The sequence below is a fragment of the Homo sapiens genome, chromosome 5 (assembly GCF_000001405.40).
Source record: "Homo sapiens chromosome 5, GRCh38.p14 Primary Assembly".
NCBI classification, from domain to species: Eukaryota; Metazoa; Chordata; class Mammalia; order Primates; family Hominidae; genus Homo; species Homo sapiens.
The window spans coordinates 19,470,908-19,487,165 of NC_000005.10; the positions used below are offsets into that span (position 1 = coordinate 19,470,908).

At 35.9% G+C, this 16,258-nt stretch overlaps 1 protein-coding gene across 20 annotated transcripts in view; it reads right to left on the bottom strand.

Annotated features, from left to right (window-relative positions):
• Positions 1-388: 388 nt before the first annotated feature.
• The window catches only part of CDH18 (cadherin 18), a 1,104,418-nt gene continuing 1,088,548 nt past the window's right edge, over positions 389-16,258 (bottom strand). For 15 of the 20 annotated variants that reach the window (XM_005248228.5, NM_001349562.2, NM_001349556.2 and 12 more), the window contains 2 exons: positions 12,394-12,645; positions 389-2,809 (listed from right to left, as the gene is read on the bottom strand). In XM_005248228.5, the coding sequence (XP_005248285.1) occupies positions 2,319-2,809; positions 12,394-12,645 (743 nt within the window). In that variant the 3' untranslated portion in view covers positions 389-2,318. Of the gene's footprint in view, positions 2,810-12,393; positions 12,646-16,258 lie in introns of those variants that run through there. The other 5 variants (NM_001349561.2, NM_001167667.3, NM_001349560.2 and 2 more) reach the window with 3 other exon arrangements.

Below are 16,258 nucleotides of genomic sequence, written 5' to 3' on the forward strand. Positions count from 1 at the left end.
ACACATTTCATTTTTCAAATCCCCATCTGTAAATTTATTGTGTAATTTTTTTTAAATACGTGCTGAAACATATTAGTGATACGTGATTTCATAGTTTTCTTCTGTGTGTAGTTTATCTGAAGCTTAAATCCAAAAGCCTCATGGAATTTCAAAACCTGACATTCCTGATACTCTTTGCAGAGAAAAGTCAAAACACCTGTACCCACAATAGTTGCCCACATTTTACCCTTCTTTTAGGGTGAATGTAATCCAGAAGTAGCATCATCAGAGCATGTATATCCAGAGGTTACTCCCCACACCCCTCAGTGCCTCTTCAGATTCAGCCTCACACTGGAACACACACCATTATGAGATTAAAAAGGATAAAGCAGCATCTGGAAAACTAAAATGTCGTAAAAAGCTTAAATTACATTTTATTCCTCAGGCTTAAAACACAAATTGAGAATTATTCAAATTAAGCTTACTTACTTCCCATACCTCAAATTATAATATGATAGCACAGGGCAATTGCAAACAGAGGTAAAATCCAAAATTTTGCACATGGGTAGAAACAGACAGAAAATGTCATATAACTTTTGGGGACACTGATAATGATAAATTTAAAGAGCAAAGGAAAAACTCCGGTGTCAACTAATTCCTATTTCATGTATTTAAGAATTTCAATATTTCTGAAATATATAGATGTGGCCAGTTTTAGAAAATAGGACCATTATGGTATGAATTCTTACTTCAAGGCCAATAGCAACAACAACAAAACATTATCTAAAACAATTTGAAAAAAAAAGCCCCACCCAAATTCTCAGAAATTAGCTTATGAAAATATTAAAATAATTGGAATTGTGTACATATATTTAAACAGTAGCTTCACTGTTGAAGATTTCATGAAATTCTCCTGTGATAATATTTTATGCCAGATGCATGTAAATATATATTTATAAGCTAATGAAACTAGAAAATTAGATAAGCGTCTGCAAGCTTTTATGCAATTGAATACTTTGCAGTTGGCAAAGCATTTTACAGATGCTCATTTAATCCTCACAACAACCCTGTGAGGTGGGCAGGGAAGTCATTGCCATCTCTACTTTGTGGTTTGGACCCTGAACACAGAGACTTTCGGAAACATATCTGAGGATAATAACTGTGAATCTCCTTTTTTGCTCCTAGTCCTACACATTTTCCTGTTGATACCAAACTAATTATCAGTGAGATGGAAAAAATCTGAAACTGTGTAAGGAATAAATGTAAGTCAACTATGATTCTATGACATTTACGTTCATTGGAGGATAGTCTTTCAGACTACATTGTTATTGTGTGAGGTACTTATTTTTAATTACTGCTCGTGTTGAAAATAAGTGAATTAGACTGAAGTACAAACCAGCCAGCAAAATATTTGACAATTAATTTTAAATAGAGAAATGACCAAAATTGCTGATTTAAATATAATAAAACAAGTGGAAAAAAGGAAAAAAAAAGTTCCCCAACATTTGGTAGAAGATAAGGTGTGTGGCTATTTTTAAAATTAAATTATTCCCTGACATATCAGATTTTCATAACATACCTTAAACTATTCTTTCTGTCCATTTAAAAATAGGAGTATCCCATTAAAATAAAAGGGGGTGTACGGGATAGAGACAATAGTCTCGTGCTCAGTACAGCACACAACTGGTGCACTGAAGTTGCATACATTATAGTGCAGGCAGCAAATCCCCATGCTCCATCAGTTTTGTATGGAGAAAAGAACTGGGGAGGGCAAAGGGAAATGGTACATACAAGTCCATGATAGAGTGGAAATACCTCATGTAATATAAACACAAGACAAGGCTAATGAGATCTGTTATAATAACAGAGTGTGGTTCTCAAGGTTTCACCCAGAAAAGTGATAAAAGAGGTTGTGATTACCTTCACAAGTTTCCTGTATTAGTGTTACCACCCCTATAAGTCATAACCACCAGTGATCTTGAGCCTTTCTGTTTAGTTTTGCTTTTGAAAAAAATAAATCACAATATATTGAAACAAATATCATTGTTTGGCTTAATTCAGGTATTCTTAATAAACAGTACCACAGACTTTATTGAGCAATTGAAAATATACACAAGGAACAATAACTTTTTCTTTGTATTGTCTTTTTTTTTTTTTTTTTACTTTCTTCCAATTAAATAACCCAGTTTCGATCATGAAAAGGGCACTTGTTTCTACAGGAGCTGTGTCCAGCTTCCTCAGTTCCAAGTACTGTTTCCACACTTCTTCCTTGTCATTGCTGAGGTTGTATATCCACTTACTCAGGAAGCAAATTCCACAAGGTTGCAAGAACTGACCCCCTAAGTTGTTCTTTCAGATTCTATTTCTCCATAGAGTTCAGCTAACTTTTTAAACTCGGGTCCCCAGTCTCCAAGGTAGTGATAATCCTGGTCTGATTGTGTCGTTGCTGAATCCAGCGAGCTGATAGACCCAGCTTCTGATCTCTGACCCTCATAGGCATAAGTCTGAAGAGAGTCATAAGGGGGAACGCTAGGGTCTAGGTCTGCTTCTGCCAGTCTTTGCTTAATAAATTCCTGAACATCTATGCTTTCCAGGGTGGATGATGTCTGGTGTCTGGGAGTGAGCTTCACTTCAGGTCTGATATCCCTCCGGTACTTGAGCTCCTCAGCAGCAGAAGGATTCCTCAAGGCTGTGATGTCAAAGGCCTCTGTGTCTTCCTCTCCGCCTCCTTCATCATCATAGGTGACCACGTTCTCCCGTACATCCTCTTCTGAAATGATCAAGGGCTCTTTTTTGCTGCGCCTCAGGGTGATAAAAAGTACCACAATTGCTGAGGAAGAATGGAAAAAGGATGAAGAATTAAGAAAACAGGAAGGAAATTCTTAGAGATTTTACAACAGCAATTTCCCATTTTCCCATTCGTCATTAACCACATTCCAGAGTTAGGCTGGCATTGCAGCACAACTCACTCTGTGCTCTCTGAATAACACCGCAAGGTACTGTAATGCCTCAAATAATGTAAAAGATGATTACCCCAGGAGACATTGCGAATTGCTGATCTTCTATAGAAAACCACAATACTCTCAGTTTGCTAAGATGTAGGTTTCTTGGCTCATATTTCAGTAAAACCATTTAGTGATTAAAGTGAGATAAACACATGATGAAAAAATAATATGAAATTTTAACTCAAAAAATAATGTAGTGAGCTGGTCTCTCTATAGATATTTAATCCTTCTAGGTAGATACACTAAAGATGTTTTAAGTTTCTGGAATATTGGAAGAAGGAGCCTTAACGTTAAACCCTTTAAATTTTGATGCTTTGTAGAAAATCAAAGCAGAAATATTTTAATGTTGATCTCTTTTGTCAATTATCCTTTAAAATTATATTATCATGCATTAATAATTGCATTTTCCCATTCAGGGACAAAATAATGTTTCATTATTTGTACACAACTTGTTTCATAGGAATTTTTTGATTTATGAATGTTCTTTATATAACTTATTTATTTAATTCTCACAGCAGAGCTGTGGCTTTACTCTATTTTTAACCCATTTATGCCTGAGGTTGCAATTTTTTGTGTGTGAAAAATCAGACTTTGGCGATAACCTTGAGCAGTAGGACATAAATAACTTCCACAAGCTTAATGTTCCAATAATGGAACACTAGGCATAAATGAGAATGAGGAATCTGAGACTCAGGAAAGAGTATCTAAATAACCAAGATCAAAAGATAAGATCACACAGATGGCAAGTGGAAGAGCTTGTACCATAATGTGATTTCTCGCATCACAGGTAATGATATTTCTACTATAAAAATACTCTACTTCAGTATTTCAAAGACATGAAATAATAAACTGAGTGTCCAACTGGACATGTGCCTTAGGATAGCTCTTGCTAAATATGGTGGATTTGTCTTTATTTCCAATAATGCTGCAAACATTAGAAGATGTGATAGAAATGTGTCTTGGGAACTTTGCTTTGGCCATTTATCAATATTTTCAACTGTTTCTATTTGATGAAATTAAACTGTTACTAAATAGAAATAGTTCCCTCACATCAAATTTGTTATAGGCTGTGTTACTAGGCTGAGTATTATTTACTTCAGCTCTATAGACTGCTCTTTTCCTGCTCAGCTGATATTCTAGGCTTTATGATGGTGATAATGATGCCCATTAATATTTTTAACATTCTTTACTTCATAATAATCAGGGAGGTACATTCGATTGACATTTAAGGTTGTTATATTTAGCAAACAAAAATAAATGGCAGGATTCTCAATTAAACGTGAATTTGAGATCAATAACAGCACACACACACACACACACACACACATGCTTCTCAACCTACAGTAAGCTTACATTCTTATAAACCCATTTGAAGTTGAAAATATCTTAAATCAAAAATGCATTTGATACACATAATTTAGTAAACATTATAGCTTAGCCTAGCCTACCTTAAATGTGCTCAGAACACATTAGCCTACAGTTTGCCAAACTTATCTAACACAAAACGTATTTTATAATAAAGATATAAAGAATTTTGAATCAGAATTCAAAATATGGTTTCTACTGAATGCATATTGCTTTCACATCCTTGTTAAGTCAAAAAATCTTAAGTCAAACTATTGTTGGTTGGAGACCATCTGCAACACACACACACACACACACATACACACACACATACACATAAGGTATTAAGTGTGTCCCATATAATATTTGAGATACACACAGGCAAATATTGTGCTAAGCATACATGCATATGTTCCAAATATTATTATATTATTCCTTGTGACATATTTATGTTATATATACACATACATACCTATATACAGATATAGATATATTTCTTATTTATCTGAAATTCACATTTATCTGGGTATACTGCATTGTGTCTGGCAACCTTGATTATAAGTGAACTTGAATGAATGGTTGTGAATCAAACACCAGGTTATCTAACTCTGATAAAGAACATACTTTCCCCCCAGAAACTGCCCTTTTACTGCTTACCTCTGCAAAGTAACTTTTATCTTCACTTTTATCATTATGGTTACTTTGTTCTTCTTTATAGCTTAACCATTTTAATGTATAACTCTAATCTATATGGACTAGTTTTATCTGTTTTAAAACTAGAGAAAACTTGTGGAAGAGGAGTAGATTTTAAAGCCAGAGATGGAAAGGAAAGTGAGAGAAAGGGATGGTCACTGTGCACTGGGAGGTACCCAGTTTTGCAGAGGAAAGGCAAATGGGAGACTATGAAGGAACCAAAAAGACAGGAAAAAAACATCTGTAGAGAAAGTCATAGAACCATCCAGAAACGTGTGAAATGAAAAGATATTAGCATTGGGAAGGTAATGAGAAAATTCAATGAGGGTCACTACAGCAGACATGGGAAGCATTGAATTACTACTGTTTAAAATGAAGTGGTTACAGAAAGCTGAAAATGAAATGTTGGTGCTACACATGCCCTGATCTACAAATATTATGCACAGAATTACAGATTTTCCCATATACGTTGCCTATATGTCAAAGACATTGCTTAATATATGCCTTTATTTTGGGGTAAAAAAGGCTTTTGCTGAACATAGGAAATATGCATTTAATAACTGCCTGTGTATTTTAGCATAAATCCACCTTACAGTTTTCTAATTCAAAGCTCCAAACAACATCCTCAAGTAATTCACTCCACTGTATTCAGAAGTTTAGATTTATCATGCACGATATATATCTCTGTTCATCTTTATAATTAAATGAGGAGGCTGTTCTAGATCGAAAGACCTATTTATAAAGACTGCCTAATTTATTATAATACAATTTCTTACCTTCACCAATAAATCAAGTTATTTTCTTTTATATTGAATTGGTTGGTGGTTGATGTCAAGGGAATTTATGTGCAGACACAACAGGGAATATGTAATCAATACTGCCATAGAGGTATGGAGGTAATTTGCATCCTTCAATATTTGTGCAATTTTTCAATCTTTGCATATGTATCATATTCACTTAATGAAATACAGGGATAATCCTGGCTTTTTAATTATCATGGCATATAGTTTCTATTTCTCAAAAGTTAAGAAAATAATTCAGATATATTATGATTCAAAATATAGAGACCATTTACATTTGAACGTTGAAGGTTTACATCTACCTTTTCCCCAGAAAAGGTAGTATTTGCTACCTTTCTGGATATTATTTGCTAGTATTCAGTGATTCCTAGGCTTGTTACATACTTATTTAATAAAAGGAGATATATATATATATTTATATATATATATGTATAAAATCAAAATCTGAGACATTTTTGAGTGAAAGGGGATGTTGTTCATAATTATGTCAGGACATCAGGGCAAATGCAGACATAGGATCCCTCTAGTTAAAGATAAATTCAAATCAACTCAGAAAAATGTTGTACATTGTGTTCCTGATGAACTTATTTTCATTCCTGTTGGTTCCACAGATATTTCTGGAGCAGATGGCACCAGGTAGATACTCCATAAACAATTATCATGTGGACAAACAAAAAAAAAATCTCTGTGAAAATGGTAATGTGACATTGTGTTAAGTGAATTACCCTGAACAGTAATAGCCTCACTAGGAAAATAATTTTAAGATATTTTTTAAAAATTAGCTTATGGTTACTAATAACATCAAACTCCTAATTGTACTGGAGAATATTTCTTAATGTTTGAAAAACAAATGAAATGTTTCCAAAAAAAATCCTAAGACCAAAGTATATTTTAAAAGAATGAGTGCAGATAATAATTATACATATAAATAGAGTCAAATCCTTATTTAAAAACTGACAGTCAAAAGAATGTATTCAAATGACCCTGATAACCTATCAAAGCATACACATTGGCAAGGTACCTCTTCTTACAGTGAGTCATCTGGTAAAATACAATATGAGAGAACCAAGGTGGTGTTACAAAAAAAAGAAAAGATATAGAACTTGTTTTTCTTTGTACAAAATAATAAATAATTTATGATATAATTTGAAGCCAACTGGATTGAAACTTGAATAAGCTGTAGAATTTTTTACATGTCTTTAGTCTAAAATAAATATTTTATCCTTGGTTAGTGAATTTCTTTTTCTTCTGTTCAAGTTTGGGCAGAATTTTAAATGCCCGTGAGATTATCATTTTATATTATAAATTAGAATAAATTTGTGGAGTTTTATGAATTAATTTTATCATCAAGTAATTCAAAGATGGGGAAACATTTTTTGTATTTGTTTTCTCATAATATGTATTTTTTCCTATATATTATGTATCATTCCAGTGCTTGGCATACTAAGTGGCTTTCAGTTCCCATAATATAAACTATCATACAACTTGAATTTGAACCCATTCCATACTGAATCTCAACATACTCCTCCCTAAGTAGCTTGCATAGCAGAATTTTTTAAACCTCAAATACCACTTGATTCTTTGTCATACCATCATATGTTGGCACTGAATTTGGTAGAATTGAGGTGGCCTGAGTCAGGGAGGTTATTTTTATTGACTTACGGAGTGTGACTTGCCACACTTGGGAGTGGCATCTCTCTCTGAAACCTTAGATTTTTAAACCAAGGGTAGCACACAAAACCATTTGAAATAGCTCAAATGAAAAGCAGGCTGACCTTTATCTCCTCACCAATTCCATCTTCTTCTCTTAGTTCACCACGTGTTCACACCAACTCCATTCTGATCCTCATTTATCAGGAAATTTATATCCAATATTAGGGAGCAATCCATGTCTCACTTATGGTGGCCTCACCTAGGTTACCTGCTTATATGTAAGCTGTGGACTGAAAGGGTAGCTGGAAGAGGTCCCAGTCAGATCCCGACTCAATGACTTATGCCTAGTGTGATCAAGATTTGCCTTGCCAACTACTCTAGTCCCTCTGGCAAGAGATGGGGTAAAGTTGGGAAATAAAAGTCAGGCCTCTGGGAGGGAGAGAGGATTTCAGCTACCTCTACTGTCATGGTAAATTCTGATTGCATCATAAAGGCTCACTCTAAATTCTCTTCCATCCATCATATGCAATAGACCTGAAAAAGGTAACCTCAACAGACAGTAACTCAGCTCATAATGTTTATATCTATCATTTAAAGTTAGCCTCTTTGGTTGACAAGCACCATTCAACGTATACATAGATGGATTCCGACCATGTTGTAAAATGTTGAACCATATGCAATCTTTAATAAAACAAGAATAAGCATTTCAAAATTCTACAGAATGACTCTAAGGTCCTTTCAACTGAAATGTCATTCTCACAGGTTTAGAAATAGAAACAAGAAAAACTGAATGTGTGGCTTTAGATCACACAGTTATTGGCAAAACTAGAGCTGGGTTTGTACAATCATAGCCATTTTCACAAACAAGAAGCTGAGAGGGAAAATTTTTTAATATTAAAATATTAATTTTACAATTTGTTTAGCTGCGAGGGTTGAACGTTATTTCAGAATTACGAGTTCAAAAATAAAGTTTTGCTACATTTGGTTTTGTCGATATTTATGCCGAAAATCATAATCTCATAAATTAACTTCAACATTATTTTAAAATTACAGATGGCTATATCCTGTATCCCTTGGCTAGATACTTTCTGAATAACAATAAAAACGAATCAATGCCATGAAAAGCAAATATTGCATTATAATATATAATTGTAGTTATATATTTTCACTAATTTTATTAGTTGAAACTTAAATATGCTTTTAGAGCATCTTCTCACCAATTCCATCTTCTTCTCTTTGTCCACCACGTGTTCACACCAAACCCACTTCGATCCCCATTTATCCGGAAATTTATATCTAGGATAAGGAGCAGTCCATGCCTCACTTACGGTGGCCTCACCTAGGTCACCTGCTTATATGTGAGGTATGGACTGAAAGGGGAGCTGGCAGAGGTCCCAGTCAGATCACGGCTCAAATATGCTTTTACAGCATATTTGAGTTTCAACTAATAAAAATGAAAAAGTAAACATATCATATAGTAACTTTATTAGTCTTGAGGGATATAATAAAATTTACAAATGTTCTATTACTTACCCCAAATGAGAAAACATTTTCATAAAAACCAATTAAAATGAAGTATCATTCCATGAAAACATAAAATGTTCTTTCAATAATGCACCTCAACATGTACCTAGACATTTAACACATTAATTACATTTTTGATATTTATCTTAGTAAACAAAAATAGTTTTATGATGATAAACAAGCTCAAAATTTGAAGATAACATGCTTCACCTAAGAGATCGACTTTTAAGAGTAAGAACGCTGGAAGAACTCTCATTAAAATCCCTGCGTTCTATTCTCTATGACTTCAGTTAGGACTCTAGAGAGATCCAGGGTAATTGTTGTGCAGCCTTGTTTTCTCTTTCTGGAGTGTTTGTGCTCTTCTTCTTTTCAAATATACACAAAAAAGAAGTATGTTAATATCTAAAGAAAACAGCAGTTCTGACCAATAAATATATAAAGTTTATTTTATTTATTTATTTATTTATTTATTTATTTATTTATTTATTTGAGATGGAGTCTCACTCTGTCATCCAGGCTGGAGTGCAGTGGCGCCATCTCAGCTCCACTGCAAGCTCCGCCTCCCGGGCTCACGCCATTCTCCTGCCTCAGCCTCCCGAGTAGCTGGGACTACAGGCGCCCGCCACCAAGCCCGACTAATTTTTTGTGTTTTTAGTAGAGACAGGGTTTCACCGTGTTAGCCAGGATGGTCTCGATCCCCTGACCTCGTGATGCGCCCACCTCAGCCTCCCAAAGTGCTGGGATTATGGCATGAGCCACCGCGCCCGGCCATATAAAGTTTCTAAAGGCTCTTTTCCTGACTTTCCTCTCCACCATACATTTACTGTACATATTTATTTGTTTTTATTTATTTATTTATTTTTGAGACAGAGTCTCACTCTGTCACCCAGGCTGAAGTGCGGTGGTGTGATCATGGCTCACTGCAGCCTCCAACTCCCAGGCTCAAGGGATCCTCTCATCTCAGCCTCTCAAGTAGCTTCAACTACAGGTGCATGCCACCATGACGAGCTAGAAATGACTGGAATGCAGTGAAATAGTTCTTGCTCTGGTGCACCAAACTTCCATCCTTCATGTTGCTAAGTACAACTGAGCATTTTGGTGCTCAATTTATTGAACTTGTAAGCATCTTTTGACTTTGTTGACAAGATTTACTACACAGCATAATGCTCCTTGATACCCTCTTTTCCCTCAACGTTTGTGACATTATACTTTACTTTCTTCCTACTCTCACTTCTTCACTGTCCTCTGCTATCTCATCCTTATTTAGTGATCACATTGTAGTTTCTCACTGTGTAATCCCAGTCCATTATCTCTCTACATATATTCTCTTGCTGGGCAACTTGAATGAAGTGGACTTCCAGTGTCCTCTAGCTCAGGGTAGTTCAGGATCTACATTCAGCAACATATAAGAAGTTATATTTGAGGCCATTCTAACTCATGCAGGTATCTACATTATCAAAGATCATTTTTCTGAGTCCATTGAAAGTACCTAGATATTATTCACTTTTCCTCAGGTCTGTTATAAGTATGCTACTCTAACACGTACTGTGTCGAAGGGAGACAAGGGCAGACTTTTCCTAACTGGTTTCCCTACATGCCCTCTTGTCACCAGGAGTTCTATTCTCCATTTCATTCACAGTCATCTTTTGCAAATTGAAGATTTTATAATGGGACTCTCTAGCTTTAAACCTTTCTTTACACTCCTAAAACAAAACTCACCAGCTTTGCCATCTCCCACAAGTCTCTGGATGCTCTCACCCTTTCCTACAAATCCCTTCTCCTTTCCAAGCTCATTACACTTTAATATCCACTCCATCTATACAAGTTATTTGTCTTCAACCCCAGGAACAAAACAAGGAACATATTTTTTCAAGAATACCTCTTTCTCAGAAAAACAGTCAATTATCTTTTCATGTATGTCAGTACCATAAAAGGAATAAAAAACAGGCTGCTAAGAGAAAGAAAAAAGACTTTGGACACAGGTCCCCACTTGATGAAGCAGAAAGATTCCTTACATCCATCTTTCTTGTTATTACAATACAGATTTGCTATCTTGTTTCAAAGAGCATTCTAAAGAGTTTATAGTTATAGAAGCTCTTCATGCGGCTGTGAAAAGATTTAGATTATTACAACAGATAATGTAAAATTAGAGAAAGTGTGTTTTTTAATAAACTGTAATGAAAATTTCAAATAAAAAATTTATTTTATTTTATTATTATTATTTTTTTGAGACTGAGTCTCACTTTGTTGCCCAGGCTGGAGTGCAGTGGCGCGATCTCAGCTCACTGCCAGCTCCGCCTCCCAGGTTCATGCCATTCTCCTGCCTCAGCCTCCCGAGTAGCTGGGACTACAGGTGCCTGCCACCACCCCTGGCTAATTTTTTTGTATTTTCAGTAGAAACGGGGTTTCACTGTGTTAGCCAGGATAGTCTCGATCTCCTGACTTCGTGATCCGCCCGCCTCGGCCTCCCAAAGTGCTGGGATTACAGGCGTGAGCCACCGCACCTGGCCAAAAATTATTGTTTTTAAGGGAATATAATTAAATTCAATAAAATTTAATATCCCTCTAAGACCAAAAAATATTTAGTCAGTATGTTAATAACTAGCTAACATTAATGATTAACTAATTATTGTGAACTAGTAGAAGTTTCTACAAGTTATCTATTTTTTATTTGGTTTTCAGATTCGTTTTGTTTTATGGTTTATTCATTTATATATTTAAGGTGTGCAACATGATGATGTTTTCCCAATAATAGTTTTCACTATTATTACACAGTGAAATGCCTAGTGTAGTCAAGCAAATTAATGTTTCTGTCATCTCACGTAGTTACACTCTTTTTTCACGTGAAGGGGAAAAAGCACCTGAAGTTTACTGTCTTTGCAAATTTCCAATACAACACAATATTGTTATTAATTAAAGTCCTTTTGTTGTATATTTGATCTCTCATTTTTTGTACATTTACTCACCCTAAGGCCATATGACCCTCACCCTCATGCTGAATGAATGGGTGACCTCCTCTGATCTCAGAAGCTAAGCGGGCTGGGGTCTTGGTCAGATTCATTTAGAATGATGCCGCTTAGATTCTTGCCAAAAATTTTTAAAAGCTCTTTCACGGTGGGATTCTGAATATTTTAATATTAATTCTTTCCAAAATATACACTTTCAAAAGCTATTTCTTTCCGATTTTATCCTTCTTCTGTTATTTCAGTTCTTCCAACATATTTGAATCTAACTATTTTGAGATTAATGACAGTATTGAGAAAATTAATTCATAGGAAATTGGAGCAGCTGTTTCCTTACCCACATTATGGATGCCTAATCCTTAAGATTTGTCAAAATGATTCCCTCTCATTCAGAATTGCCATCATGCAAACTTAGGGTTTAGAATGACTTACCCAGGAGAATGAGAACACAGAGAAGAATAGCGATTAAGGCTCCTGTACTCAAACCAGCCGAGGACAGGAAGGCTTCTGCATGGCAGGTCCGCACACGCCCATCTCTCTCGCATGCACAAACCCTGATGGTGAGGGTGCTGCTGCTGCTGAGAGAGGGGATTCCACCATCAGAGATCATAATGGGCAGATAATACACATCCTGAACAGTTCGACTAAATCTCCTCCGCCTTGTCAGAATGCTGGCTGTGTTATCTATGATAGACATAAGCAAAACAAAATACACTTAGTCAAGCCGCCATTCAAGATTCACATTTCCTTTAATGGATAAAATGGGGATGTGTATCTTTCTTGTTTCAGTTTATGAAATGGACAAGGGAACACGAAGGGGCAATTATTAAAGAGAAGCTAATATTGGTTCTCCAACTGAGAAACCTATTTAGAAAAATTAATACAGCCACACTAAAGATGAAAGAAAATAGTGGGAAGACAAAGCAGGAGGAAGCAATGAACATTTTGGACATGGACCTAATAGCTATAAGATTTAAAGGGATGCGGACGGCCTGAAGTCATACACTTAGGGTCCTATACTTTGAAGTGAGCCAATGAGATTTTCTCCAAACCTAGAGGCTCTGAATATAGGTAATAGGAGCACAAATCTGTATTTTTAGCAAACTACTGAGGTGAAGTTGATGCATAAAACAGGTATAAGAATAACTGGTTTATATAATATTTCTATGGAGACAGTAGATCAAGCAACAAACTTTTTAGACTTGGCTGTGATTTGAAGCTGTATTGTTTGACCATGGGGAAGTTAATGATGAATAAAATAGCTAATCATATTTTTAAAAATGTGTTTATTAAATGCAATGTACTATAATAAATGCCTGCATGATATATTGTGTTCAATCTATAAAACTTTATGAGGGACAGGATGCTAAATTCTTTAATTCATAGCTGAAAATAATTTTTGTTATAAATACTAATTTAAAAGTAAATAACCCTAGTCCCAGAGTGTTAGTTGCCCAAAATCACAAAGCTAGTAAATGATAAGGATAAAACCTCTATTCTAGAACCCTGCTCAACACCACAATGTCACATTGCCTCATCTACAATTCACTGCCAAATGGTATTGATGTCCGCAGTGCGCATAATATATGTTTCATTGTACTGTTATTCCTCGTCCCTGAATGCATAGCTGAAAACCCACATGGTCCATACTTGGATGTACTGTTCAGATCCCTTCATAAAATTTCCTGTTGCCGTAGCTATAGATTGCCACCTGCCCCCAGGTCACACTTCTGGAATAGCATATAACTAACGACTCACTGCTGAAAGGTTACAAACGTTGGGCCATCCCCCTTCCTGCACTACTGACAATACTGATGGACAACTTTAGCTCCAGAGCTTTTCCATAGGGTCAGCCATTAAGAGACATTAAGAGTGAATGTCAGCTCCATCTGTCACTCTACGCTGTCGTTCTTCCTTCTCCTGTGATCTACAGATGTTGATCCCAATGGCATACTCCACTAACACCTGCGCTCCAAATGCCAATTCAACTCCAGGGAACTCAATAGGCAGCTACATCTATGAGTTAATTATTTTGCACTAAAAAGTAAGTGGGTCATTAGACAATTACAATTAGGGCCTCTTTTTCTCTTAACAATGTCTTTTATTCTGAAAATAGAAATTGTATTTTATGTAGGTATGTTTATAACAGTCACAGTGCAATATCCTAAAATGATATTATTTATTGTACATTGCTAAATTAACATAATAAAAAAGCTAATTTTTAAAATATTCAATGTACTACATATAATAAAACACAAGAAAATATGCACATACATACATATATGATTGAGTTACTGAAAATCAGAAATAAATAATCTAATGAGAAATTGAAGAAAATTTTCTTACCTAGTGAAAGAAGAATTTTTAAAAACTACATCAGCTGTCTATTCTTTTTTTTTTTTTTTTAGATGGCGTCTCGCTCTGTTGCCCAGGCTGGAGTGCAGTGGCGCCACCTCGGCTCACTGCAAGCTCAGCCTCCCGAGTTCATGCCATTCTCCTGCCTCAGCCTCCAGAGTAGCTGGGACTACAGGCGCCTGCCAACATGCCTGGCTAATTTTTTGTATTTTTAGTAGAGACGGGGTTTCACCGTGTTAGCCAGGATGGTCTCGATCTCCTGACCTCACGATCCACCCGCCTCGGCCTCCCAAAGTGCTGGGATTACAGGCGTGAGCCACTGCGCCTGGCCAGCTGTCTATTTTTAAACATGTTATAGGATAGAGAAAGAAGTGGAGAAATGACATCACGTGTATTATATAATAATTTATCAGTCATGTTTACTCTCCCAGAAAACCTGACTTTTGTGGAAGCAGATCTATCAGCTGTAGGATGTTGCATCACAATGAACAGAAGTCTTTAGTCTATGGGAAATGTGTGAAATAAGTATTCACGGGCACAAACATGTTTGACAATCTTACAGCTGCTCCTCTGAAAAAGAGATGTGAGACACTGGTCCCTGAATCTCAGGAAACACGAATAATAACATGTGAAATGACAGAACATGCAGTGTAGATGGCGGCTCTTTCATGGCTCAGGCCTAGCATACGTCTCATATTAATAATCTTGAAGCATGCTATTTTCAGGAAAACTATTGGAAATGCAATCAGAAATAAGACAAATACCAGAATATGTTTCTAGTGCATTTTAAGTCCTGAAATAGAAATCTCTAAGACATAAGGACATAAAGATGTTCATTCCTGTTTTTCCCGTTAAAGTTTTGACTTTTGAAAAGAAAGGATGATTCAGGAGGCAAGAGCTTCCCACCTAGAAAGGCTTAGCACAGCAGAATAATGAACTCTTGACAAGGCATATTCTGTACCTCACCGGAACAGTACAAAATGTACTTGGCAGAAGGCTCACTGAACTTGAAAAATAAAATTTTGAACACTGAGGAAGAATATGAAAGGAAGAAGAAATATATATATATTATATAGATATGTATTATATAGAAATATATATATACACACATACATATATACACATACACACAAACACAACACACCATACACACCAATTCCCACATGTACATATATATGTGTATATATCAGACACAATAAAATACGTCTTGCTGAAATTGCAAAATTAGGCGACAAGACCCATAACAAATCTCTAATGCGATATACAATGGTTAAAAAATAAATGAGGGCCAGGCGCAGTGGATCACACCTGTAATCCCAACGCTTTGGGAGGCCAAGGCGGGTGGATCAACTGAGGTCAGGAGTTCAAGACCAGCCTGGCCAACATGGTGAAACCCCGTCTCTACTAAAATATACAAAAATTAGCTGGGTGTGGTGGCGGGCGCCTATAATCTCAGCTACTTGGGAGGCTGAGGCAGGAGAATTGCTGGAACTCGGGAGGCAGAGGTTGCAGAGAGCCGAGATCACGCCATTGCATGCCAGCCTAGGCTGTCAGCAGTGAGACTCTGTCTCTAAATAAATAAATAAATAAATAAGATATTATAGAAAGTCTCAAATGGCATCCAAATGAATAAGAAAAATTAATATAGGCTGAATAAAGAGAAAACATAGCATGATAGAACATCTGTGGATGAGAAGTACTAATTGTCAATGTCAATCTCTAATAATGTGCACCATAGCTGGGTTCTTAATTCTAACTCTCTATAGCTTGGATGAAGACAGCAGATTATAGAACACTTGGAAGCCAAGCTAGTAAAGCTAATGTATTAGATTAAGATTCGAGGAGATTTTGTATAGCCAGAACAAAGAAATTTAACAATAAGACAGGAAATAAAGATGCATATTAGAGGCTAGACTTTGGAAAGTATCACATAGGGAGGATC